The 25,322-nt window shown below is 63.0% G+C and overlaps 1 long non-coding RNA gene across 1 annotated transcript, besides 4 other annotated features; it reads left to right on the plus strand.

Annotated features, from left to right (window-relative positions):
• LOC105374343 (uncharacterized) lies at positions 8,960-24,255 on the plus strand. The gene is made up of 2 exons (XR_001741546.1): positions 8,960-11,035; positions 23,964-24,255. It is a non-coding gene; the product is annotated as an uncharacterized LOC105374343 (long non-coding RNA).
• Positions 9,040-9,860: an enhancer, noted in NCBI's record as "H3K27ac-H3K4me1 hESC enhancer chr4:1030079-1030899 (GRCh37/hg19 assembly coordinates)". NCBI's record gives its function as "activates a minimal SCP1, AML or CMV promoter by ChIP-STARR-seq in primed H9 embryonic stem cells {active_cell/tissue: H9 hESC(primed)}" and the evidence as "EXISTENCE:reporter gene assay evidence [ECO:0000049][PMID:30033119]".
• Positions 11,626-12,559: an enhancer, noted in NCBI's record as "H3K27ac-H3K4me1 hESC enhancer chr4:1032665-1033598 (GRCh37/hg19 assembly coordinates)". NCBI's record gives its function as "activates a minimal SCP1, AML or CMV promoter by ChIP-STARR-seq in primed H9 embryonic stem cells {active_cell/tissue: H9 hESC(primed)}" and the evidence as "EXISTENCE:reporter gene assay evidence [ECO:0000049][PMID:30033119]".
• Positions 14,089-14,287: a silencer, noted in NCBI's record as "fragment chr4:1035128-1035326 (GRCh37/hg19 assembly coordinates)". NCBI's record gives its function as "represses an EF-1alpha promoter that drives an FKBP-Casp9 reporter gene in an ReSE screen in K562 erythroleukemia cells {active_cell/tissue: K562}" and the evidence as "EXISTENCE:reporter gene assay evidence [ECO:0000049][PMID:32094911]".
• Positions 14,668-14,849: a silencer, noted in NCBI's record as "fragment chr4:1035707-1035888 (GRCh37/hg19 assembly coordinates)". NCBI's record gives its function as "represses an EF-1alpha promoter that drives an FKBP-Casp9 reporter gene in an ReSE screen in K562 erythroleukemia cells {active_cell/tissue: K562}" and the evidence as "EXISTENCE:reporter gene assay evidence [ECO:0000049][PMID:32094911]".
• Positions 24,256-25,322: the final 1,067 nt, after the last annotated feature.

Genomic DNA, 25,322 nt, shown 5'->3' on the forward strand with positions numbered 1-25,322 from the left:
GAGGCAGCAGACTGGCCTCAGAGCTGGGGATGGGGCCAGGCTCAGGTCACCTCTGACCTCAGGGCTCCGTCCGAGTGCCCTCCCAGCCACCCTGCGGTGCTGCGACGGTGGCCGACCCCATCTTACCCGGTCAGCAGGAGGGGTGGGGCTGCCAGCTCCACCCGGGGCCCTTGCCTGCCGGGGGTTCCGTTAGCCTCGTAAGAAAAGGCACCGGGGCCCCTCGTGCATTCAGCAAAGCGTGAGGCCCACTGCGTCCCCGGAGCCTGGTCCTGCTGGCGTGCAGCGCGCTTCCTGACCCGCTCTGGTTCTGAGAGCTTTTCCCTGGAGGAAGCTCACCCTGCCTGGCTTCAAAGACGACAGGTGGGCTCTGGGGAGAGGTGTCAGGGACCTCTCCCCAACTGGAGCTTCTGGGGACCCCATGGCTTTCAAGATGTCCCCTTTTTGTTCTCTGTCCTCCCCAGGGTAGACCCTACTTCTCTCCCCTGAGGAAGTCCTGACTCCTTGGACGGTGACAGCTTCAGGCATGGCCCTGGTAAGGGCTGCGTGTGGCTGATGGGTGCTGTGGGAGGCCTGGCCACCCTGACTGGGGGACAGTGGGGGCTCCACGCGGCCCACAGCTGGCAGCCAAACAGATGTTCCCCAGACAGGACAGGCTGCAGGCCGACGCCTGGTCGGGTTTCAGTCTGGAGTAGGGGAGGGTGGAAGGGAGACCTCAGGCGTCTGGCCACCTTGGGCAGCAGGGAGGCCTCAGGCAGCGGGTCATGGGGTTGCAGAGGACAGGCTGCCCCTCCCCAGGGAGTGGGCGGAGGGATGGGCAGTCCGAGAGGGCTGTCCCCTAGAGCCTCTGAAGGAGACACTGGGACCGCAGACCCCACGCCTGCACCCTGCCTGCTGTGAGGTCCAGGCCCCCACTCAGGGCCACCCTTGACTTGTGGTCCAGCCCATCTTGCGCCTGCCCACAGGAGGTGCTGACTAGTGCTGTGTGGTCCTCAACGGACAGGTCTGGCACAGCCTAGCCTCTGGGTCTTGGGCTCTGGACTTTGTCATGCTGTGGCCACGTTGGATGCCAGGCTGGGCAGGGGGACCCCAAGGAGTCAGGACAGACCCATCTCCTGCCTATGGGGCCCCAGCCACCCCCGGGCCAATAGCCTGGAGCTCAGACCCCTCAGTCCTTCCCTAGCCTTCCTCAGGGGCTGCCTGGAGCCCCTGCTTTCTCCCCTGCGACTTCCAGACCCTTCCCCCTTGGCCGTCCAGTCCCGAGAGCCTTGCTCCCGCCCCCACGCCCCTCTGTTCGGCGGTCTCCAGCCTGAGCCTGCCGGGGCCCTGCCCTGTGGACGCCTGGCCTGTGTTCCTGGCTGTCTCTTGCCTGGCCCTGCCCCGTGGACTCCTGTCCCCGTGGCTCCTGTCCCCCCACCAGCCACACGGCCATCCCGATGCCGTTTCCCGCATCTCCGTCACGGCAGCACGCGTCTGTGCCCTGCGCCGGCTCCCTCGTCACATCTGCACGTCCACACTCCCAAGAACAAAATTGCGTTCCCCTCCCCTCCACGTGCAGGAGGCCTGGGAGCACAGAGGCCCCGTGTGCTTCGAGGACTTGAGGCAGGAGGCGGGCAGAGGCGCCCAGGGCGTGAGTGTGGCCAGCAGGACAGAGGGCAGGACTGCGCTTCTGACAGTGGTCTGCTCCGGCCAAGCACCTGAAAGATGGGGAGCCCTTCACCCCAGGCTCACTGGCCAGGAGGCTCGAAGGGCCGGGTGGGGCTTGTGGGAGGTGGGGGTGCCGCTCTGTGGGCCCCGTCTCACCTGTCCTGCCCGGGTCACCTGCACACCATTGCACCATGGGGGCTCCAGGCCCAGGAAGAGACCGACACACACGCGTCGGGAGGCTCCTTGGGGGCCAGCGGGCTTCTGGGCAATGCCCTTGCAGGGGTGGGGCTGGGGCATGGAATCTGAGGGGCAGGGCGACCGAGGGGGCCCAGGGAGAAGGGAGGAGCCCAGAGTGGCAGCCGTCTCCCCAGGGAGGGGCTGCACCTGGGGCTTCCTGGCTCTTCCACTGTCACCCTTCACGTGGGCAAGACCAGGTCCCATGCCCTTGGCCACCACAGGAAGGTCATGGGGCAGCTCGTGCTGTGGGGACGGGAACAGGGCTGGGCACCCGTCCCTGGCTCTGTCCTGGGCTGCTGGTGGTGTGGGTTGTAGTGGTGGGGGTTGCAGCCCAGGAGTCAACGGAGGGGACCTGGCTGTGTCCTCAGGGCGGCCCCCAGGCCAGGCCCTTTGGGTACGAGATGGTGGTGCCCGGGGGAGGCTCAGCATGGCGGGGCAGGGTGTGGGCACGGGGCCAGGCCCATGGTCCTCCCTGGCCCTGTCCTGGTGGTGATAAGCTGCTTCCCTGTAAAGCCCGGCTAACTTGAAAGTGCTGCCCAGGCTCCAACACCCCCGGGTGTGACCCGCCCCCGCCCGGCCCTCCTGGCTTCAAAGGGGTGCCCATAAGCCGCCTGCAGCTGTCCCGGGGGTGCCTGCGTCTGCTGCCAGGGACAGGGTGGCAGCATGAGGCAGAGATAGGGGATGTGGGCAGCCCCACCCAATGGGCCCGTGGGTCAGAGGACCTGGCCAGAGATCACAGCCTTGTCCCAGGCCGAGGCTGGGGGCTGGGGGACCGGGTCAGGAACGTGGGACGAGGAGCACAGATGGGGCCCAAGCCAGGAAGAGGGGTGCAGGCCAGGAAGAGGGGTCCAGGCTGTGTGCTCGGGGTGCACGATGGGACTCCCCGCACAGCAGAGATCCGGCCCTGGGACACAAGGCTCCAGGACGCAGGGACCAGCCAAGCCTCCCTGGGGCACTGTGTGGGCCCCGGACCTGCTGTGGGGCTGGGGTTTGCCAGGGGTCCCCCAGGATTTGAACATGGGAGCACCTCCTGGAGGCAGAGGCAGGGAGGCCACAGGGCCAAGTGTGTGGGGCACTGGGCCCCTCGGGCTGGGCTGGGACAGTCCCCCTCCCATGGCTGGAGCTAGCTTCTGGTAGGAGAAGCTTCCAGATGTCCCGGGGGACAAGAGTGCTGGGTGGAGCCACGCTGGGTGAGGCGGGGCAGGGACGCGGTGGGCGGGGCCTGGTGGTCTCGGGCTCTCTGTGCCCTGTGCTGGCCTCACAGTGTGCCCGGCCCAGGTGGCTGCCTGGGTTGGGGAAGGGGCTCTCCTGGGGGCTGGTGGGGCCTGGCGGGTCCTGGGCCTCAGCCACACAAGACCCAGGCCTGTGTTCCAGGGCTCTGGGTTGCCGATGAATTTTAGGTTTGCATTGCAGTGCCTGAGGAGAGACGCCAGTCCCTGAGAAACACCGGCTCTGCCCAGGGGCCGCACTCGCCACCGTTGGCCTCCTCTGCTCGGCCTGTCTCTCCCTTGCCTCTGCCTTGGGAGGAGTGTGGCCAGCGAGGGGATGCAGGTGGGTCTCCCCGGAAGGCTCCCGCCACTGTGCTGGCAGCTGCATGCTGGGCCTGAGTGGGTGTGGCCAAGGCTGGGGCTCCCTGTGGGCTCTTGAAGCAGAGGCGGCCTTGGCCCCATGGGAGGGTTTCCCATTCCCTTCCGCAGCCTTGGGCAGGAGCCCAGGTGGGTCTAGGGGCTGGGCCCACCTCTGGCCTCGTGACCCAGGCCGGCTTTGACACACGTGGGAGGTGAGGGTGCCACTCTGTGGGTCCCGATCATGCCCGTTCTACACTAGTCACCTGCAAAGCCTGCTGCTCCCCTGTCCCCCAGTCCCCCAGTGCCACCCAGAGAGCCACCCTCGCGCCACACAGGCTGGTCAGGCAGCCTCTTTGTGACCTGTGCCCTGGCTCCACTGGGGCTGTTCCTCCTGGTCAGCCCCTTCCCCAGTCGCCTGGTCACTGCCTGACTGTATGCAGCTCCTCAGCAGTCCTGACCCCATGGGCAGCTCTGTCCTCAAGCACCAGCTCCACCTGCTAGAGCCCAACCAGGGCAGAGAGAGGTCCTCCTAATTCAAGCCCCCCAGGGCACCCCAGCTCTCTTCAATCCTTGCCTGGGCTCCAAGGCCCCCAGACCCAGGTTCCTGGGCTCGAGGGTCTGTGCAGGGGCAGGGGCCACCCACTCAGGCAGTTTGATTCAGTGACTGGGGAGAAGGGGGGCTGGTGGCCGCAGGGTGGGGCTGGGGGCCCCTGGAGCAGCTGCCATGTTCTGAGGCTTCCTTGTCCCCATGGCAGAGTGCTGGGGTGGCCAGGCTTGGCACGCAGCACCCAACACGGTGGAGAGAGTGCTTAACCTGGGGTCAAAAGGTGGCCTCTCTGGCCCCCTCACCCTGAACCTCAGCCTGGGTCACGGCAGGGCCTCTGCCTGGGGGCCGAATTCAGGGGTCCTGCTGGGAGCATGAGTCCTGAGTACAGTGGGGCTGGGGCACTTGGGGGGCTCCTGCAGCCTGAGAGATGGGGACCAGTGGGCGCCCAGGGACATCCAGCCCTGCAGGATGCTGTGACGGACGCCAGGTCCCACCTGTCTCCCCGTGCCGGTGTGTCGACTGCAGCAGGAACTCCCTGGTGTCCAGCAGAAAGACCGGGACTCGGAGGGTGGCCAGAGTGTCATTTTATTCTCTTTAACAGGAGGTCTGGCCACCAGTCCTGGCCTCTGGTGATTTGGCCAGGGCCACAGCCGACAAAAGGGGTGGTGAAGCTCCACTCTCCACAGAGGGACCCAGGGACCCTGAAAAGACCTCAGATGCCCTGAGACCCCTGAGGAAGGCAGGGCCAAGAGAGTGGGCACGGCCGTCCTGGGAGCCCAGGGCCCAGCTGCTAGGATCCCGGAGCCAGGGGCTGCCGCAGGGCAGCCCTGGATGTGCCCTCCTGGGCACGCAGGCCGACATGGATTCTGTGGCTGAGGCCGTCAGCGTGTGAAAGCCACAGACACAGGCGGGCCCGGAGTGCCTGTCCACCCCGAGGCGCCTGCCCTGGCCCGGCCTCTCCTTCCTGGGTGTCGGAAGACCTTCATCTATGCCCCTGCCCTGTACCCGCTCAGTGGGCTGAGCACGGGCAGGGTGTGGTTCTGAGGGGCAACCCCACCAGCCTGCTTGGGCCCCAGCGTCTTCTCAGCGTCTGCCTCCTGTGAAAACCTTCCACTCAGTAAAGGAGCACAGTAGGTTGGTTGCCGGGCCAGGCTGGGGGCACAGTGGCTGCTGGGGGCCGAGGCGGCTCCTGGGGTGTGTCCTCTGGGAAGATGCTCTCTGCCTCAGGGCTGGGCGCAGCCGTGTGCCTTGTACACGGGCCTCAGATGTGGTGGGAGAGCGAGGGGGAGGGAACTTTGGGACCAGCTAGGGGCGAGATGCCCACTCCGGGGCCCCAGGTGAGGGCTGTGGGAGGAGGAGCCGAGGCAGCTGCAGCCCCGCCTGCTCTCTGTGGCAGCCGCATCTGGCCCAGCCGGCAGGTGGTGACAGCTGCCAGCAGCTGGCTGGGCGAGGGCTGGCCTGAGTCCGGGGTAGCGGTGGAGGCGGGGCTGTGTGCCCGGGTCCTCCAGGAGCCCCTGGAGTTACAGTGGGTAGGCGGTGGTCCAGGGAAGGGAGGACCACCTACCCCAAGCCCTGAAGGACCTTTGGAGACAGAGAGCAGCCCAGAGCATGGGGGACCGGTGGGAATCTGCCCTGATGCCATGTGGGGCTGGGGACTCCAGGATGCTCCGTCTGCCTCTGGGGTCTCCTGGTGTCTGGGGGCTCGCGGTGTCGGGGGCTCCCCTGGTGGGGAGTAGAGCTGCAGAGGACAGAAGAATGAGGGTCGCTGGCTAGAGTTGGGGTCCTAGCCTCTCCCTAAGGCGCAGGTCTTTGCTAGAAAGCAGCGGCCCCATGGTGGGGCCAGGCCAGGTGGGCTGCAGCCAGGAGGCCCTGGGACGAAGAGGCCACAGGCTTGCTGGGGAGAACTCAGCAGAGCCCACCCTAACCTTGACTTTCCTGGAAGGGTCCAGGGTCTCCAGCAAGTAGCTCCTCCCACACCTAGACTAGGGTGAGAGAGGGGTGCAGGGATCGGGACCGTGGCCTCCTCGTCCTCCAGTCCCCACCCACCTGTGCCCAGCTGCATCTCAGCAGCTGTTTTGGGACCGCCTACCCGGGTTAGCCCTGGCGCTGGCTTCTCCTTGGCTGGGATGCTTCACCCTCAGCACCCTGGGGAACAGGTAGGGTGGGTGGGTTTGTGCCTGGAACCCCAGGGGTGCCTGGCTTCAGGCAGCAGCAGCTGTGGAGGGTAGACCGCCTTTGTTGCGGCAAGACCAGCTGGACCCCTCTCCGGCCCGACTCCTGGGCACCTGCCATCTGTGAGCCTCCTTGAGGAATGGGCATCGGGCCGGACACCTTCTGTGGTCCCCTCACAATGCAGCCTGCGCCCGGCCTGGGCTCTGACCCTCTGATGTGTGGCAGGGAGGTGGAGCATCCCGAGGGTGGCCACCCCCATTCCCTCCTGACCCCAGGCTGCAGGGAGCAAGGACCCCAGCCTCCATCCTCATTGTCTGGTGTGGCCTGGTCAGTGCCCTGAGCAGCTCCCCACCCATCGTGCACCTGAACCAAGTCCTCTGGGGCCGGGCGGCCTCTCTGCACTGTCAGACCCCAGGCAACCACCTGGCCCCTCTGGCCCTCGGTGTCCTCATCTGTGACAGGGAGGAGCCACCGGCGACTGAGTAGATGGGAGGTGAGTCCAAGTCGCCCCGGAGCCCGCAGAGCTCAGGCCAGGCCCAGGCTCGGGGAGGGGCGGGGCGGTCAGGGTGGCGCCGGCCTTCACAGAGGCGAATTCCTTCTCTGTTCACAGCTTTTTCCTCCGTTTTTTTTCCTCTCTCTTCTTACTCCATTCCTTCCTGGAGCCCCTCCAAGACAATCGGCACCCGGCTCCACTTGGCGGCCACAAAGCCTCTTTGACGGCCCAGGTCCAACAGCGGGCGGCGGGGGTGGAGGCTGGGGCGGCAGACGCTGGAGGCCGGCAGGGCCCCGGCTGGGTCCGGCTGGCTGGGACGGGACAGAGGGAGTCTTCTGCTGGGGCTGGTGAGGCCTGAATCAGCCCCGGGGGTGTTGGGGTGGGGGTGTCTCTTGTACACGGGTGTCAGACCCAGACTTCCCTGCCAAAGGCTCTGCCCAGATGAGCCTGCTGTGAAATCGGTGCTCCCTGCCCGGCCAGCTGGGAGCTGCGTGCCCAGAGCTCAGCACCTCCCAGCTCCTCTGGTGGAAGAACAGATGGCTAGAGCCTGCTCGGGGCCATCCCTTGTGCCCCAGGTCGTTTTGGGGCAGGCTTACCTCACCGGCACCTCCTGGCCCAAGGCCTTGGAGCACCGTTCCCCTGACCCCGCGTCTCTCCTCAGAGCTGGGTTCTGAGTGTGGGCGTCCAGCCAGCCAGGGACCAGGCCTTGCTGGGGGCCCAGGCCCACCTGGGACGGGATGGTGCTTGCCATGGAGGATGGTGCTTGCCCGTGGATTGCCTGTCCACCTCCAAGGGCTTGGGTGGGCTTGCAAACAGTGGTGCTCATTAAATGCTTGGTTGGGGCCAGGTGCGGTGGCTCACACCTGTAATCCCAGCACTTTGGGAGGCCGAGGCAGGTGGATCACAAGGTCAGGAGATTGAGACCATCCTGGCCAACATGGTGAAACCCCGTCTCTACTAAAAATACAACAAATTAGCCGGGCATGGTGGCATGCGCCTGTAATTCCAGCTACTCGGGAAGCTGAGGTAAGAGAATCGCTTGAACCCAGAAGGTGGACGTTGCAGTGAGCCGAGATCGCGCCACTCTACTCCAGCCTGGGCGACAGAGGAAGACTCCATCTCAAAAAAAAAAAGAAAAAAAAGCTTGGTCGGAGGAGCTGCTGGACTTACGCTGTTGAGGCCTGTGGTGCAGGGCAGTGTTGGTGAGGCTTGGCCACTCTCCCCTCCTGGGAGCAGAAACCTGACTCCCTTTGACTTCCAAAAGCCAACCCTGCACATGGGCACCCCAGGGACCTGGGGTCAGGGAGGCCTGGCCACAGAGGGACGGCAGAGCCACTCATTCCTGGCCTGGCATGGTAGACGGGCAGTGGCAGACATTGCCAGACACAGGGGCGGGGGTACAGGCAGGGTGGGGGAGCAGGTAGGGTGGGCCAGGGCCAGACACCCTTGAGCCAGGGGTTATGGCACTAAGTGGCCACACAGAGGGAGGTGCCCATGGGCACAGGCGAGAGGCCGCCCGCTGCCCCAGACCACGGGAAGGAGTCGTGGTCCACGCAGCACAGGACTGGTGGCCGGGCTCCTGGCCCGTGGTCGGTGCTGCCGTGCTATCCCGGCTGGCAGGACTTACGAGGGTCGGCCTGGCCAGGGCAGCCTTGCTTGGCTGGAAGCACAAACGTTGTCTGCAGAGCCCTGCTGGGGCAGCAACCAGGCGGAGTGAGCATCGGGCCGGGACAGCGAGTGGCCCCAGAGTGAGGCACAATCCAGCCTTTGTTCCAAGGCAGCCCGGCCTGCAGGCCAAGAGGAAACGAGAGGCGCGCCAGGCAGCACCCCCGCCCGCCGGGCAGCACTCGGCCGCCAGGGCCCGGCCCTGCAGAGGAGCTGCGGGGGCCTTAGTCCGGAGGAGCAGGCACGGCCTCAGGCTGGCATCGGGACGTGGGTCCTGGAGCACAGCCCCGGGGCCATCCTGCCAGGAGTACGGAAGGTTCTGGAATTTGGAAAGCCATGCAAGGCCTGGGGTGGGGTGGGCCCAGGGAGACCCCCAGGGGAAGAGACAGTGCTGGGCCCACTAAGGGCCCTGAGAGGGTGGCCCTGGGTGAGGGTCCCAACTGTGTGGGTCGGGAAGCTCCATCCCCAGCTGCTCCCCCAGCCTGTGACCCAGCCTCCCACCCCAGGAGGCTCTGGCACCCCTCCCTCCACCCCACACCCTCCCGGCCCTCCCTTTCCCTGCCCCGGCCCTCACTCCTCCTCCACCCTCCCCGCCCCTCCGCTACCATGCCCCAGCCGTGCGCTGACCTTTTGGGTAACTGTGCTGGGGCACCCATGGGGGATTGGCCTGGCCTAGACCTGCAGGGTGCGTGTGGCCGCGGCTTGTGCGCCCAGTGCTGGCTGCAGGCGGGTCTGAGGTGCAGGTCCGCACAGACCCAGCTCCCCACTCGGCAGCCCACATTCCTCTGCCCTCTCGCCCCTCTGGGCCCAGCCCTTTCCTGGCTGCAGTGGAAGGCAGGGTCAACACAGTGCCCAGCCTGGTGGTCTGGAGGGCTCTGCTCTTCTTGCCATTCCCCAGGGCCCTCAGATGTGGCGGAGGGGCCTGCCACACACAGCACAGCTCCCCTGTCCCTCCATCCTCGCTGCAAAAGGGCAACCAGGGGCCCCCACCGGGCAGCTCTGCGGGGAAGTGTCCCCGGCCACCTCAGAGTCCCACCCTCTGCCCCGATGGGGGTACCAGTGTGTGCTCGTGTGTGTGGGGTGTGCATTGAGACCCTGTCTGCCCCCTTCCTCACCCCTTCCTTCACACCCCTTCCCTGGTGAGGCCGGGGCCAGGGAATTCGGGGGCTGGGGATCAGGTCCCAGTGCTCCCTGGCAGGCAGCTGCCCTGGGCCCCACACCCCACAGGCTACCCGAGGGGTCTCCTGGCCCAGGGCTGAGCGGGGACAGCTGGGAGGCCCTTCTCAGGAGGCATTTCAGCCTCCCCTGTGCCCAGCGGAAAGGTGGTCCCTGCACCCCCCCTGCTGGGCCAGATCCTTATCTCGGCCTCAGCTCCTTCCCAGCCAACTCGGCTGCAGGGGCCTGGCTGTGACCTCTGTAGACAGAGGTCCCCACGGAAGCCTGGACTCCCCGGGGGGCACACCTGACTTTCCCGTCGGCAGCCACGCGCTCCTGCGTAGGCCCTGGGCTCAGCCCTCAGTTGTGCTGGACCTACTGGACAGCTGGATACAGCCCACCCTGAAAGGGAGGGCCCTGGGAGGGGCAGTGGGGCCTGTTGGGGGCTGGGGGTTGTCACTATGTTCCCGAAGTGGTGCCGGGCAGACAGGGGCCGTCCGACTCCCAGGACTGCCGTGTGGGCCAGAGCGGAGTCCCCGGGGATGAGGGTCCCTGCCCAGGGAGGGCAAAGGGGCTGCTGTGGAGCCCCCTCCAGTGGGGCCTCAGCCTCGGCCGCCCAGCCTGGAGGGACTGAAGGCCTGAGGCCCTGTGAGCCAGAGAGAGTAGGGCCCCTAAGGTCTGGGACCCCAGCTCCCTGCCTGAGGGAGGGGGAGGGTCTGCCCAGGCCCGAATGGCCTGACCTCCTGGCTGTGAGTGTGTGGCCCTGGAGGCAGCTGTCCCCGACCAGCCTCCTGCAGGCAGCCCTGAGGAATGGCCTGACCTCCTGGCTGTGAGTGTGTGGCCCTGGAGGCAGCTGTCCCCGACCAGCCTCCTGCAGGCAGCCCTGAGGCCCGGGCCGCGGTGCGGGTGGCTGCTGCTACACACCTGAGGGACCACACGGCAGAGCCCTCCCCAGGCCCCGCCCGCCCCTGGTTTCAGCAGTGACCCCTGGCCCACCTGGCTGCTCTGGGTCCCTGAGGCCTCTTCCTGCCTACCCCCACCCCCCCACAGCCCAGGCCTTGGACCACAGCCAGCCTGGGTGGCCTTCTGGCTGGGAGACCCCAGGGCTGGGAGTCCCGGCCCACCCCCCTCCCCTGCGATGCTCCCCACTCAGTCCGTGTGGCTGGAGCTTCTGTGACATCACTCGGCAAGGGGCCTGAGCTTGCAGCCCCAGCTCTGCCACGATCACCGAGTCCCCGTGACAGGCCTACTTCCTGTGACCCCAGACGAGGCCCCAGCCCACCCTCTGCCCTGGCACCCCAAGGCAGAGCCAAGCTGAGCAGGGTGCAGACCCTGGTGGCCGCCGACTAACAGGTGACCCTCCTGGGCTGTGGGAGGGCTGACAATGCCCCCCTTCACTACATGGCAGGAAGGGCCAGGGGTGCTACACACTCAGTATAAAGAGGATCTGCAGAGAAGGTGCCAGGAAAGCCCCTGCCCACCCCCGGGCTGGTCCTACAACCCATCCACAGGCACTGCCTACTTTAAAGGAGGCTCCTGTGGCATCGGCCAAGGGTGAGTCAAGATGGCTGAGCTGCCAGGGTGGGGCTGTACGGAGGGACCTCCTGTCCCTGACACCCCACGAGGCTGGGGGGCAGTGGTTTTTCTCTGGCAGGAATAGATGGAGAGCTGGGAACTTTCATGCCACGGAATCGTAAATACTTCCCAAGGTCAGGGCCATGGCAACCAGGGTGGCAGGCTGGGGTCAGGCCCCACCAGACAGCTTGACCCGCCCTCCCCGGGGCCGCCTGCCCACCTGCCCCAGCAGCCCCACCTGCTCCCAGGGTGCGTGTCAGCTCAGATGAGGGCAGTAGCCCTGCTGGGTCAGGGAGGGGCCTCAGCTTCTGCATGGGGCAGGCCTGGGGGCTGGACAGGCGGATGCTATGGGGCACGACCCTCAGGGAAGCTTCTCTGATATTCCTTTTTTTTTTCTTGAGACAGAGTCTTGCTCTGTCCCCCAGGCTGGAGTGCAGTGGCACGATCTTGGCTCACTGCAACCTCCGCCTCCCAGGTTCAAGCAATTCTGCCTCAGCCTCCTGAGTATCTGGGCACGCACCACCACGCCCGGCTAATTTTTGTATTTTTAATAGAGACGGGGTTTCACCATGTTGGCCAGGATGGTCTTAAACTCCTGACCTCAGGTGATCCACCCGCCTCGGCCTCCCAAAGTGCTGGGATTCCAGGCGTGAGCCCTGCACCCGGGCCTTCTCTGATGTTCTGCCCAGCACCGCAGCTGAGGTCTCAAAGGGCCACCATTTATTTGATCTTCTCCACAAACATCCACAAAGCACTGGGCGCGCTGCCTTCGGGAAGCTCTTCCCGGGTGTCAGGAGAGGCTGCAGTCACAGCTGTTGTCTTCTGTGTTTGTTGCTGAAGCTGGTGGCAGGGTGATGTCCTCCTTCCAGGAGGATGAGCAGTCACAGGTTTACCCAGCCTGGTGGGCACAGCCCCTCTGAGGCGGGAAGGTCACAGCGGCTGTCCCAGCTGCCCCAGGAGTGTGGGAGCAACGGGGTCCCACCATGTCGGGTAGCACCTGGGCCCACAGACCCCAGAGGCAACCTCACTCCTGCTGGCTTCGTCCAGGGTGTGTCGGCCATGGGGGCCCCGTGGAGGGGAAGGGTCTGCCCTGTGGTTGCCGGGTTCTCTGTGGCACCTGGGGGGCAGAGGGGCCTGGCTGTATGAGGCCAAGCGGCCCTTGATTTGATTGAACACCCCTGAGACAGAGCCTACCCAGCCATGGCGGGGGGTCTTCAGGGCCTTCTGCCTGCCCCTTGCGCCCTTGTCTGCCCTGGGCAGCTGCCCTCAGCCTCTCCTGCACACTGGTCTGAAGGCTTCAGGTGTGTGGGGGGGTGGCGGGTGCTGGGCCGGGGCCGCAGGAGCTGGCCAGGCTTGGCCCTGAGTAAAGCCCTGGCCCAGGCGTGGCGGTGGTGGTGGGGGCGGGCCTCTGTGTGAGCGGGAGTGGTTCTGGGCTCATGTTACATTTTCCACTGGAAAAACAGCCCCATTTTGAATGTTGGCTCTGAGCGTTTTAAAAATTGCAAATATATCCAGTTTCCCAAACGAGTGCTCACCAGGCCAATGTGGTTGTTCCTGCCGGCCCTGTGGAGGGTGGGCACCCGGCCCAGTGGGAGTGAGGGGCTGGGGGCCTTGGGAGGGGAGGGTTGGTGCTGCAGTTCTGGGGAGCAGCCCTGTTGTCACAGCCTAGGGACACTGGGCCCCTGCCACCTAGATGGGCAACTGGGGCCCAAGCCCAGGTCCAGGGAGGTGGGGAAACTGAGGTCCTTGTGGCCTGGAGCCTGTGGGCCTGTCACTGAGGAACCCTCGGTCCTGAAATGGGCAGCACCTGGCCATGGCAGGCTGCAGCCCACACCGTGGTCAGGGAGCCTGGCTGTAGGAGGCCTCATCTCCCAGGTGTGCCCAGGTTCTGCATTCCTGCCGCTCCCTCAGGCACCTCCCCAGCCTGGCAGGGCCTCACTGGCAGGAGGCGAGGGAGCCCGGTGCAGACACAGGCTTCCGGGCTCTGAGTCCTGACTTGGGTCTGAGGCTTCACGATCCCTTTTCTGCAAAGGTGTCACCTGGTGCTGTAGTTGTGTGTGGGGCTGGGGTTTCGTGTGTGTGTGTGTACATGTGCATGAGTGGGGATGTACACGTGTACTGGGGTTTCCATGCACGTGCGTCTGTGCACACTTGAGCAAGTGCACATGTGGGTGCTCTGTGTGTGTGCATGGCGTGTGCGTTCGTGTGTGTGTGTGTGTGTGGATGGCGTGTGTGTTCTCGTGTGTGTGTCCCTCACTTCCCTACTGCCTAGGGTCAGGGCAGTGCTCAGGGTCCTAGCACCCCTTGAACAATGGGGTGACCAGGACTGCAGAGGGGCACGTGGCAAGGGGGTCCCAGGCTGCCTCCGTCTGTCCACCCAGGCAGGGTGGGCTGCGGAGGGTGCTGGCAGGCAGGCTCCTGGTTGGCCTAGTGCCCCTGGGGAGCAGGCTCAGAGGTGCCGTGCACTCTTCCCACTGTGCTAAAGCTTTGGGGCCTGTAAGGATGTTCCTGCCATGCCAGGCCCCTCCCCAAGCTGGGGTCAGGGCCCGTGCCCACTGCCCGGCACAGGCCTCCCGCTGGCTGGCTGCTCTCCTTGGAGGGCAGAGAGCATTCTTCAGAGTGGCATGGTTGCCAGACCAAATGACAAAAGTGCCCACTGGGTAGACCGGAGACCCCAGGCTGGCAGCCCGGCTGCACCCCCAGTTTCACAGGAGGCACTTTAACGCCAAAAACATCTGGAAATTGTTCCAAGGACTGGATTCCAGCCTTCGCCTTTGGAAGCTCAGCTGCCCCTGTGGAGGGTGGGAGGGCCGCTGGTTCCACAGGGCTGGAGCTGGGGCCATGAGTTCCATGAGCAATTCGGCCTCATGGGTGGCAGGCCCACGGCCACCGCAGGGCTGGCGGCACCCGCTCCCCTCCTGCTGCTCCCGCCTGCTGGCGCTGGCCACTCGAGCCGCCGTGCCTCTGAGTGTGGCCCCTCCGATGGCCAGTCTTGAGGTGGTGAGGGTGGTCATTCTAGAACTGTGTGTGCATGTGTGTGTGTCGGTGCACATGTGTGCATGTAGGTGTGTGTGTGTGTGTGCTTAGCTGAGGCTGCACCCCCCGGGGGGAGGCGCTGGCGAGTGCACACACACACACACACACACACACACCCCTGCATGTGTGTGCTGGCGCCTGTCAGCTCCTCCCCCGGAGGTGCAGCCTCAGCTAAGCCACCTCCCCCAGCCCCACCGGAGCAGGCGAGGAGCCACGGAGGGACCTCAGGGGGTGACCCCAGCCCCTGGGGGTCATGTGAATGGGGCTCCACCCAGGCCAGGAATCCGGCAGCACTTTTGTTCCTTTTCACAAAAGGCGAGCACGACGCCCCGTCTTGCTCACCGCTCAGTGAGCGTTACAAACGTTTGCCAACACGCACCTCCCTCTGCGCTGCCTGGCTGCAGCCAGCCAGGAGTGTCCGTCGGCTTCCACAGCTCCACTCTGCAAAGAAAACAAACCCAACAGCAAGGATGTTCTCCTTGAATGCTCTGGGCCGTGCTCTCGAATCAGCAGCCAGCCTGTCCTCAAAGGGGTCTTGGCTCAGAAACATCCTATCGTGCATCGTTTTCTGCCAAGTTTCAGTCTAAGATGTAAAAGTGGAGAAACCAGAAGCACTGCAAGTGAAAATAGAATAAAGGGAGACATCCCGTGTGGGAGCAAAGTAAGAGAAGCAACCAGCACAGCGGGCAGGAGGGACACTGGTGCCGCCACACCCGAAGGAGCCGGGTATCCACACTCCCGCAAGCCCTACCTCCCCTGGGGGCCCCCACCCACCAGGCCACACTCCCCTGCTGGCAGGAAACATGGAGTCAGGACCAAGTCACCTGCACCTGGGGCCATAAGGAGCTGAGCAGCCACCAAAGACCACCGTCCTCCAAACCGTTCTCCAAGTCCAGGGTCCTGCTGCTCTCCTCAACTCCCTCAGCCTCCCCAAATACTGAGTCTGAGAGTGCCCCCCAGCAGGGACTGGGCAGAAGTTTACACACACACACACAGACACACCCACCCCCACACACCAACACACAGACAAATATACACCCACCCCCACCCAACCCCCACCAACCCACTTCCACACCTACACCCACACATGCACACACGCACATCTACACATGCACACCCACACACACACCGACACACACACCGACACACACACCTCCACATACACCCCCGCACACTGACACACCCACACACACACCGACACACACACCTCCACAAACACACCCCCCGCACACTGACACACACCCACCCCCACACACTGACACATCCACCCCCCACACCGACACACACCTACAGTGACACCCGCACACTGACACACACCCACTCCTGCACACTGACACCCACTCCTGCACACTGACACACACCCCCGCACAGACACACACCCACCCCCGCACACCGATACACACACCTACCCACACACCCACCCCACACACCAACACACACCCACCCATCCCCGCACACCGACACACAACCCACCCCCGCACACTGACACACACCCACCCACTCACCTCTGCACACTGACACACACCCACCCCACCGACACACACCCCTGCACACTGACACACCCACCCACCCCCACACTGACACACACACACCTACCCACACACCCACCCCCGCAGACACACACACACCGACCCCCACACACTGACACACACACATCTGCACAAGACACCCACCCACCCACCCCTGCACACTGACACACACATGCACACCCCCAACCCCTGCACACTGACACACACACACCCACACACCCACACCCACACACTGACACACACACCCACCACCGCACACCTACCCACACACGCGTACCCACCCACCCCCGCACACAACACACATGCACACCCCCCACCCCTGCACACTGACATACACACACCCACCCTTACATGCACCCACAGGCACACATATACACCCACATGCACACCCCATATACATGCGTGCACACATATATACACATACACATACACACACCTACATACACCACCTACATACACCTACACGCACACATACATGTACACACCTACATGCACACATATGCATGCATACACACATCTGCACACCAACATGCACGCGCACACACGTGTCCACTGGCACAGAGCAGTGATGCACAGACACATTTCCCAGGCTGCCTGAGACCTGGGTGGCCGCGTGTGGTGCTTTGTGGCTGGGGTGTGCCCTAAGGGGTCAGGAGGGGCTGGGCCACACCCCAAAGGGTCCACATACTGAGGACAAAGGGAGCTGTGGAGGACCTTGTCCAGGAGAGGCAGGCTTCCTGGGTGCGGTGTGCAGGCTGCATGGGGAGCAGGGCGTTGGTTTCCCCGACTGCAGCCACAGACTGAGTGTGTCCATCCCCACAGCTCCTGCCAATTCCAACACTGAGAGTCTGTGTTTGGACGCCTCCAGTGACCACTGGCTCCGCGAGTGATGACTCACACCCATCACTCATCCCCTTCCTGAGTCAGCCGCGGGACCCTCTGCAGGGAGGCGTGCGAGTCATCGAGGTGATGCAACCCCTGCTTGGTCACTTGCTGACTCACGGACACCCCCCGCCCCAGCCCAGGGCCTCCCCTTCCATGCCGGACGGGCCTGGGGTGAGCTGCAGCCGGGCAGGAACGGCAGAGCAGGGGGCAGGGACCTGGGGGCGGGAGAGGCAGCCGGAACGGGGTGGCCGGGAGCAGGGCTGCTCTGAACGCAGACTGCTGGCCCTGGCTCCGCAGTACTCCCTCTGCTCTCTTGCTTGGTTTGAGGGACCCTCTTAAACCCTGCTCTCCAAGCCTCACGTGAATTGAACCAGCCACCACGTGGTCCCCGGAGGCGCTGAGCTGCGCTGAGCCCGGCCCCTCTCATCCTGGTGTTCTGGCGCCAAGCCCCCCAACCCACCCTAGTTGCAGGTCCGAGCCCTCCGGTGCCTGATCGCAGGCAGCCCCGGGCTCCATCGGGCTTAAGGCCACATTTCTCAGTGTTTCTATGAGGGCAGAAAAGACATTTCCTGAGAGTGGATTCCTGAGGTTTCTGAAGGTCCGTAAGTCCAAGAACCACATTCTTTCCAGCCCTCCTGAGTTCCTGCAGCCATGTTTCCCTTCCCTTGGGGAAAACGCAGCTCTGAGGGTCTGGAGCAGATGAAGGTCCCGTAAGTCCTACTCTCCCCAGCTGCCAGGGTAGGTGCCTGGTGCTCTGAAGGTCCTGGGGAGCCCCAGCCCCTTGCCAGGCATGTGAGGCCTTCCCAGCCCACACGTTCCGTGAGGACGGAGCCAGGTCCTGTGTTGCTTTCTGCTGCCTGGATGACTGGGAACGGAGCTGGGGTGTCCTCTGCTCTGCTGGAGCTGGAGCTGCCCTATTTAAGGCAATTCCTGCGCTGTGAGCCCTGGTGGGGCCACCTGGCGGGTTCCGCCAAAGCAACCTCACTGCCATGGGTGTTTTTCTGTTCCTGCGGTCATATGGGCTCTTGTGAAAGCAGTTTTCCAAGTAAATATGGTGATGATTTAAGTCTACTACATTTGGAAAAATGAGGGATGAACCCTGCAGCCCTGGTCCTGTCTCAGAGGCAGCTTTGGAGAACATCTGTTGCTGCCTCCGGAATCACCTGGCCCTGCCTGGGGGCAGCCACTGGCCCAGGCCAGCTCCTGAGCTGCCCTCCTGCCAGACTCGGAGAGGGGCTGTCTGTTCCCAGCCTCAGACCCCTGCCCCATGCCCATCGCCTGAGACTGTGATCAGACCCAGCCATGTGTCTGAATGAGCCTGGCCCGAGGAACAGTGGCCCTGAGAGGCATCTGAGCCCTGAGCCCCTCCCCACAGTGCAGGCCAGGGGTGGCCTCTGCTTCCCCCAAGATTCCAGGCTTTGTCTGATTTCCAATGGCTCTGGTCATCCTCACCCTGGTGCCTGTGGAGACCCTGGTGATAATGGCAATGGCCTCCCTTCCCTACATGGGTGGAAACTGCAGGTCCCGGCCCCTGGGGTCCTGGCTCTGCACTGCTCTCAGCCTGGCGTGGCCAGGAAGGACGCTGCCCAGCAGCCCCAGCCGCTTGAGGCCAGGAGAAAGTCGGGGTGGGAACGTCCGTCTCTGCAGTAGGTACCTGCCCCATCCTGGCATCACGGCCAAGGTGGCCACGCGTCTGTGGCAGGCCAAGAGCAGGGCCAATCCCAGGAACTACCCGAGTCCTGCACATGACTGTGGGTGTGTGCAGCCCGCACAACAAAGCAAACAGACAAGCCATCAACAGTGGGGGAATCCGTGTTAGGGCAGCCGGGTTCTGGCATCAACGCTAATATCGTTAACTTTTCTTTAAGTGTGGAATTCTTTCCCAGCTGAAAGTCACAAAAGGCTCTATTGATGGGGGTGTGGGTGGAGGGGGGCCCTGAGCAGACCCGGTACGAACGGGCACAGCACTCTGGCCAGGGCGGGTGCCAGAGCTGGCTGGGCGCTCTTCCGTGCGCTGCGTCTGCAATACTGGTCATCCCTCTGCGGGGACATGGGGGCCTCTCCAGGGCTTCAGAGAAGGGTGTGCAAAGACAGTGGTGAGATCTGGAGTTCGGAGTCTGGCGGAGGAGGTGCCCGCCGAGCTGCCTCTCGAGGGAGGCTCTCAGGATATCGGCCGCCTCTGCGAGGCTCAGTGCCTGGTGCCCTCCGCCTCCGAGCCCTTCCCCAGCAACCCCCCAGCCCTCCCCGACCCCTTCCCCAGCCCTTCCCGAGCCCACCCCGAGCCCTTCCCGAGTCCTCCCCGAGCCCTCCCCGAACCCTTCCCGAGCCCTCCCCGAACCCTTCCCGAGCCCTTCCGGAACCCTCACCGAGCCTTCCCCGAGCCCTTCCCGAGTCCTCCCCGAGCCCTCCCCGAGCCCTTCCCCAGCCCTCCCCCAGCCCTCCCCGAGCCCTCCCCGAGCCCTCCCAGAGCCCTTCCCCAACACCCACTCCCGAGCCCTCCCCAAGCCTTCCCAGAGCCCTTCCCCAGCACCCCCACCCCGAGCCCTCCCCCAGCCCTCCCCGAGCCCTTCCCCAGCCCTTCCCCAGCCCTCCCCGAGCCCTTCCCGAGCCTTTCCGCAGCCCTCCCCGAGCCCTCCCCGAGCCGTTCCCGAGCCCTTCCCGAGCCCTTCCCGAGCCTTTCCCGAGCCCTCCCCGAGCCCTTCCCGAGCCTTTCCGCAGCCCTCCCGAGCCCTCCCCGAGCCCTTCCCCAGCCATCCCCGAGCCCTTCCCCAGCCCTCCCCGAGCCCTTCCCGAGCCCTTCCCGAGCCATTCCCGAGTCCTTCCAGAGCCCTTCCCGAGCCTTTCCCCAGCCCTCCCCGAGCCCTTCCCGAGCCTTTCCCCAGCCCTTCCCGAGCCCTTCCCGAGCCTTTCCCCAGCCCTCCCCGAGCCCTTCCCGAGCCTTCCCGAGCCCTTCCCGAGCCTTCCCGAGCCCTTCCCGATCCCTTCCCGAGCCATCCCCGAGCCCTTCCCGAGCCCTCCCCGAGCCCTTCCCGAGCCCTCCCCGAGCCCTTCCCGAGCCTTTCCGCAGCCCTCCCGAGCCCTCCCCGAGCCCTTCCCCAGCCATCCCCGAGCCCTTCCCGAGCCCTTCCGGAGCCATGCTTCCCTAGCCCCGCTCCAATGTGAATTCGGTGTGCAGTCTTGGTTTTACCACCGAAGAATTTTAGGAATTTCCTCTTAGTCTGAAAACAAAACGTGTTCAAAACCTTTCTTCGTGTTTATAGTTGCTTGGGTTTGAACGCATTTTCATCCTCTCCAGAGCCGCAGCAGAGGCTTCCTGGCAACCAAGCTCGTGCTTGGGGAGGGGGCTCTGCGCCTTCAGGCTGCCCGGCCCCAACTCCCCTTGATTTGGGGGTCCAGGTCAGGTCAGTGTCAGGGTGCCACCCGGGAGCTGGCGAGGTGCACGCGGCTCCTCCCGCCTTGCAGTGGGTGGGCACACCTGCCTGGAGGTCCATGCGGAGGCGCGGGAACCGCTGAGGCGACTCAGGCCCGGGTGCGGGGATTTGGGTGTCTCTCGGAGGTCGCGAGCATCCAGGCGGAGCCCAGGCTGCAGGGGCAGGTCCTGCACCTGCACACCACCGTGACAGGTCCGCAGGTGTGGCCGGACCCATCTCCTTCCAGCCTGCCCACTTCCTGAGCCTGGCTTCTCCCTGGCCTTCCTGTCAGTTCTGGGGGCTTTCTGGATTGTTCTTTCAATAAAATTCTGTCTGTCGCGGCTGGCGGTGGAAGCCCAGGGCTCTCTACTCCCTCCAGGCAGCCTGTTTGCTGCACCACCCACCTCCAAACCTAGGACACCTCACCTGCTCCTGGGTTCCCAACGCCAGGCCCAGGGCAGGGCAGCCCCACTGCAGATGCTGTGTCCTGGCAGCGCCAACTTCGCGAAGGTCAAATTGTCACCCCCTCTCGGCAGCCTGCCGGTGTTGACTTTGCTGCAGTTGGGAAAATAGTGCTAGCTGGAAATTCTTTCACTTTCGATAAACACATCTAGCTATTGTAAACCAATACTTTGCTTTACACTATTCATCCATGGAGATTTTAAAGCTAAGAATGACTTCGGCCGGATGCCAGCCAGTTGCACTCCTCGAGGTGGCTGCCAAGGAAGGCCAGGCCCAGCCGGCCGCCACAGTGTGCAGTGGGCACTCGGCCTCGGGAAAGCCACCTGATCCGATGCGGAGCGAGACCCTCACTCAGGAAGGCCGGTCTCTTTCCAAGAAGTACCCAGTATGCTTTGATGATGATTTAGGTGAAGAAGGCTGGAAAGGGTGGTGGTGGTGAAAACTGTTCAGGGGGAGGAAAGGGAAGGCCATCCCGAGGGCGGGGCCCCAGCGTCCGTGGGGAGCATCTGTTACCCCTGGGGCTTCGTGCCGGCCCGAGCGACCTGAATATGAACTCGCTCCTATTAGAAATGGAAGCACACCCAGAGTGCTCCGGACAGACGCCCAGCCTGCTGTAGGAGCTCCTGTGGGCTCATCTGCCTTCGGAGCATGCACCTGCATCAGGCGACTGCAGCACAGTGAGACTGATGGGCTGCCCTGAGCACAGGGCACGAGGAACCTTGCGCTTCTCCGCGTATCCGGTGGGAGGCGCCCACACAGGGGCCTCCTGGAGGGTCCCTGTGGGAGGCTGTATGTGGGGCAGAGGTTCGGATGTGGCCGGATACCCACTCTCCCATACCGGGGGCCCTGCGCTGGCCACTCCAGCCACATGTGGCTGCTTCTGCTTTGTAGTGAGTGACTTTCTCAACCAAGCCTGGCCATGGCTCTCCACACGCCAGTCTCTTGAGCTGCAGGAGAGACCCCCCCAGAGGTCCTAGCCCAGTGGCACTGGCTACTGTCCCCTTCTGTGCCTGTCCCTGACTTGCCCCCAACTCGGCTCCGACTCTGCCCCTCCCCTCAGCCTCTCACCTGCCGCCCTTCCCCATCTTGGCTGGGCCGAGGAATCACTCACGCCCTTCCTCGGCGTATTAGTCCGTTCCCACGCTGCTATAAAGAACTGCCCAAGACTGGGTAATTTATACAAGAAAGAGGTTTAATTGACTCACAGTTGAGCATGGCTGAGGAGGCCTCAGGAAACTTAGTCATGGTGGAAGGCAAAGGAGAAGCAGGTCCCAGGGCGGCGGGACGGAGTGAGTGCAAGCAGGGGAAGTACCAGACGTTGATGAAACCATCAGATCTCATGAGACTCACGCAGTATTGCAAGAACAGCATGGGGGAGCCACCCCATGATCCAGGCACCTCCACCTGCTCCCGCCCTTGATACGTGGGTACTATGGAGAGTACAATTCAAGGTGAGATTTGTGTGGGGACACAGCCAAACCCTGTCACTCAGCTTCCCTCGGGTTTCCTGCCCTCTTCTCCATCACTGCCCCCCAGCACAGCCAGCAGCTCCTGCCCAGGGTCCCGGGGCCCGGCCTCCCCTGTGGCCACAGATCCTGGCTCTCTGTCCCACCACTCAGGCAGGCGATGCTCAAATCCATCTCCTCACTGACGCCCTCCTCTGTGGCAGCTCTGAGCCTTGAACCTCCAACACCGTCCTGTCGGGACTGGCAGAACTCATCAGGGGAATCATTGGAACGCTAGTCACCCTTGCCCCTCCAGACCTCCCAACCTCTCCTCTCCCCTCCCTAGCACCCCCTCACCCCAGGCTGCCTGGGTCCTACACAGTCCCCAGCACTGAGACTGGCCTTCTGCTCCCCTCCCTCAGCCTTGCTCACCTCCTGGCTGTCCTGGGACAGCGTCTTAGGGTGCTGCCTGCTCATGACTTGCTCAGGGTCTTAGTCCCCTGCCTCCCCCTGCACCTGTGTCCTCGGTCACGTGTTCCGTCAGGGTGCTGGGCATGGCGCCGACATGGAAGCGCTGCCTGTCTGCTCCTCAGTGTGCCCCTTGCAGCTTGGCTGGCGAGTGCCGAAGGGGCGGAGGAAGCTGGTGCCCGGCAGGAGATGCAGCCCAGGAGGACCCCCGGGCCTGGCTCGTCGCCAAGGACGATGCAGTGGTGCTCATGGCTGCACTGTCTGTGACGGGAAGAGAGGAAGCCGCGGTGCCTCTCAGAGCGGAACACGCAGTCGTGGTTCACTTCTGTGAGTGAGCTACAAGAGCTCACGCCAAACAAAGGGGCCAGTCCATGGAACAACCTCAAGTGTGACCCCCCCTTTTTTTTTGAGACAGAGTCTTACTCTGTTGCCCAGGCTGGAGTGCAGTGGCGTGATCTTGGCTCACTGCAACCTCTGCCTCCCAGGTTCAAGTGATTCTCCCATCTTAGCCTCTCAAGTAGCTGGGATTCCAGGTGTGTGCCACCCACGCCTGGCTAATTTTTGTATTTTTAGTAGAGACGGGGTTTTGCCATGTTGGTCAGGCTAAGTGTGACCCCATTTTTATTAAAATCAAAACAAAGGACCTCAGTCCAACAAAATAGGAATTCTGAAAGACCAGAAACAGGTCTAGAAGGTGCTGTGCTATGAGTGGGGGAGCGCCTGAAGGTGGAGGCTGGGCCCAGCAGCTGGGGAGAGGCCTGGGGACGCCCCTCAGCCACTCCATCTCCAGGTGTCTGCCACAGTTGGGGCCACGAGGAATCGGGAGCCATGATGGTGGAGAGAAATAGTCAAATATTGATTTAGTACCTACTGGAGTAAAATGCTGATTACCCGTCAATGGATTAGGTGCAAATCACATCATTGGGCACCTTTGAATACAATGCATCGTAAGGCACAGCCCAGGCTGTGAAGCCACCCTGAGAAGTTCACAGTTGGTCTCATCGTTTTATGTCCACGCTGTGCATTTGCTTCTGAAGGACCATGGTGGGGGTCTGCACTACTTGTAGAAACAAGAATCCAGTCTAAAGACTTACCCTATGGCTCCGCGTGATCTCTAAATACGGCAGTTTCTGAGCGCCGCGGCCTCCGCCTCTGCGTGCTTTCCTCGCATGCTGAGTGTCTAACCTCGGCTTCTGGGTTTGCTGCTGCTGTTTCACAGACAGCACCCCACACAGGGCAGCTTGAGGATGCCCCGCTGCTTCCCTGGTTGTGGATAAGCCAGGCAGCTGGCGGATGGCGCGGCACGAGCGCTGGCTGTGCCTGCTGGGCACTGCCTTCACGCGCTCCCAATCCTGCCTCATCAGCCCAGGTCGTCGCTTTGCTGAGTTGCTCAACGCTTTCACACTCGGCGGGCGGCACTAAACAGACGCTTTCCTGGGGCAACAAACCCAGCCGGGCGCGGGCACCGCTCAGGCTCCCTTGGTCTAGCGCCCTCCAGTGTTGCCGGCCAGCACTGCTGCAGAGGCCGCGGGTCGCTCGGACGGGAATGGATGGAAATGTGGCTGAGGCCACTGTTGACCCGGAAGTGTTTTGCCTTTGTTTGTTAACCAGCTATGAAACTAAACATTCTCACACTGCCAGCAAAATGACCATTTTTTCATTTAATTTGCAGAGAACAGCATTATTAGTGGCAAACATCTTGAAGCAAACAAAATGTGGTCAAGTTGAGCTAACATCACATTATTTTCCTGAAGAATGCTGTGTGAACTCACGGAGTCCGTCTGCACTAATCAGTCCAGTGAACGGCTTCCTTCCTTCTGGCAGAGTTCCTTCTCCAGCATTTCCTCCAAATCCCACCCAGCATTAATGACATCTGTCTATAAACATTAGTTTTAGTCTCAAATATTTTTTCCCTCAAAACTCAGAAGCTTAGTGAGAAAATAAAAATCACAATGAGCAACGTGTCCACTCCCCTGGCACTTCTGGACTTCCCGTAACACACACAGAGAGCTCGAACCACATGTCTTGTTGGCATCTGCCTCCCTATGCTGTCACCACGAGGGCCTTGCTGTGCTGGTTGATGAGATGGACGTGGTGCTTAGACAGGCAGGTGATGTGGTTTGGCTGTGTCCCCACTCAAATCTCATCTTGAACTGTGGACGTGGTGCTTGGATGGGCAGGTGATGTGGTTTGGCTGTGTCCTCACCCAATCTCATCTTGAACTGTGGCTCCCACAATTCCCACATTGTGGAAGGGACCCGATGGGAGGTAACTGAATCATGTGGGCGGGTCTTTCCCATGCTGGTCTCACGAGAGTGAATAAGTCTCATGAGATCTGATGGTTTTATAGGAGCAGTTCCCTGCACACACTCTCTGCCTGCCACCATGTAAGATGTGCCTTTGCTCCTTCTTTGCCTTCCACCATGACTATGAGGCCTCCCCAGCCATGTGGGGCTGTGAGTCCATTTGACCTTTTTCCTTTATAAACTATCCCGTCTCAGTCGGGTATGTCAGCGTTAGAACAGACTAATACAGCAGGGAACCATTTTTTTCACCAAAAAAGGCAAAATTTAGTAAAACATCCAGACAGTGGCACAAAGCTATTCTGTGGATAGAGCCGATGGATAGCACTGCCGAGGCGGAACTCCCACCTGTCCTCACAGCAGCGCAGGGCCTGAGGGATGATGCCTGAGGCTGCACAGCGGTGGGGGACTCAGCCCAAGGTTATGTCTTGGCCCTGAATCACAGCTGCACCGTGAGTGGTGGAGGCAGCCCCCCACTGCCTGCAGCACAGCCCACGAGACACCACCGGGCAGGACAACTCACAGCAGGCGGTGGGGGGTGGGGGAAAGGCTTGGCTGCTGTACACCCACACGTGGGAGTGGCAGAGCCTGCAGAAAAGGTGCCGCCCACTTCTAGCCCAGGACGCGCATGAAGAGCTGAGGGCACTGCCCCTCCGTGGTCCTGCCCCCCTGCCAGTCTCTGCTGCTCCATTATGACCCCACGGCTGGCCCTGGGCTTTCACAGTCTT

This window comes from Homo sapiens, chromosome 4, assembly GCF_000001405.40.
Source record: "Homo sapiens chromosome 4, GRCh38.p14 Primary Assembly".
Lineage (NCBI taxonomy): Eukaryota > Metazoa > Chordata > Mammalia > Primates > Hominidae > Homo > Homo sapiens.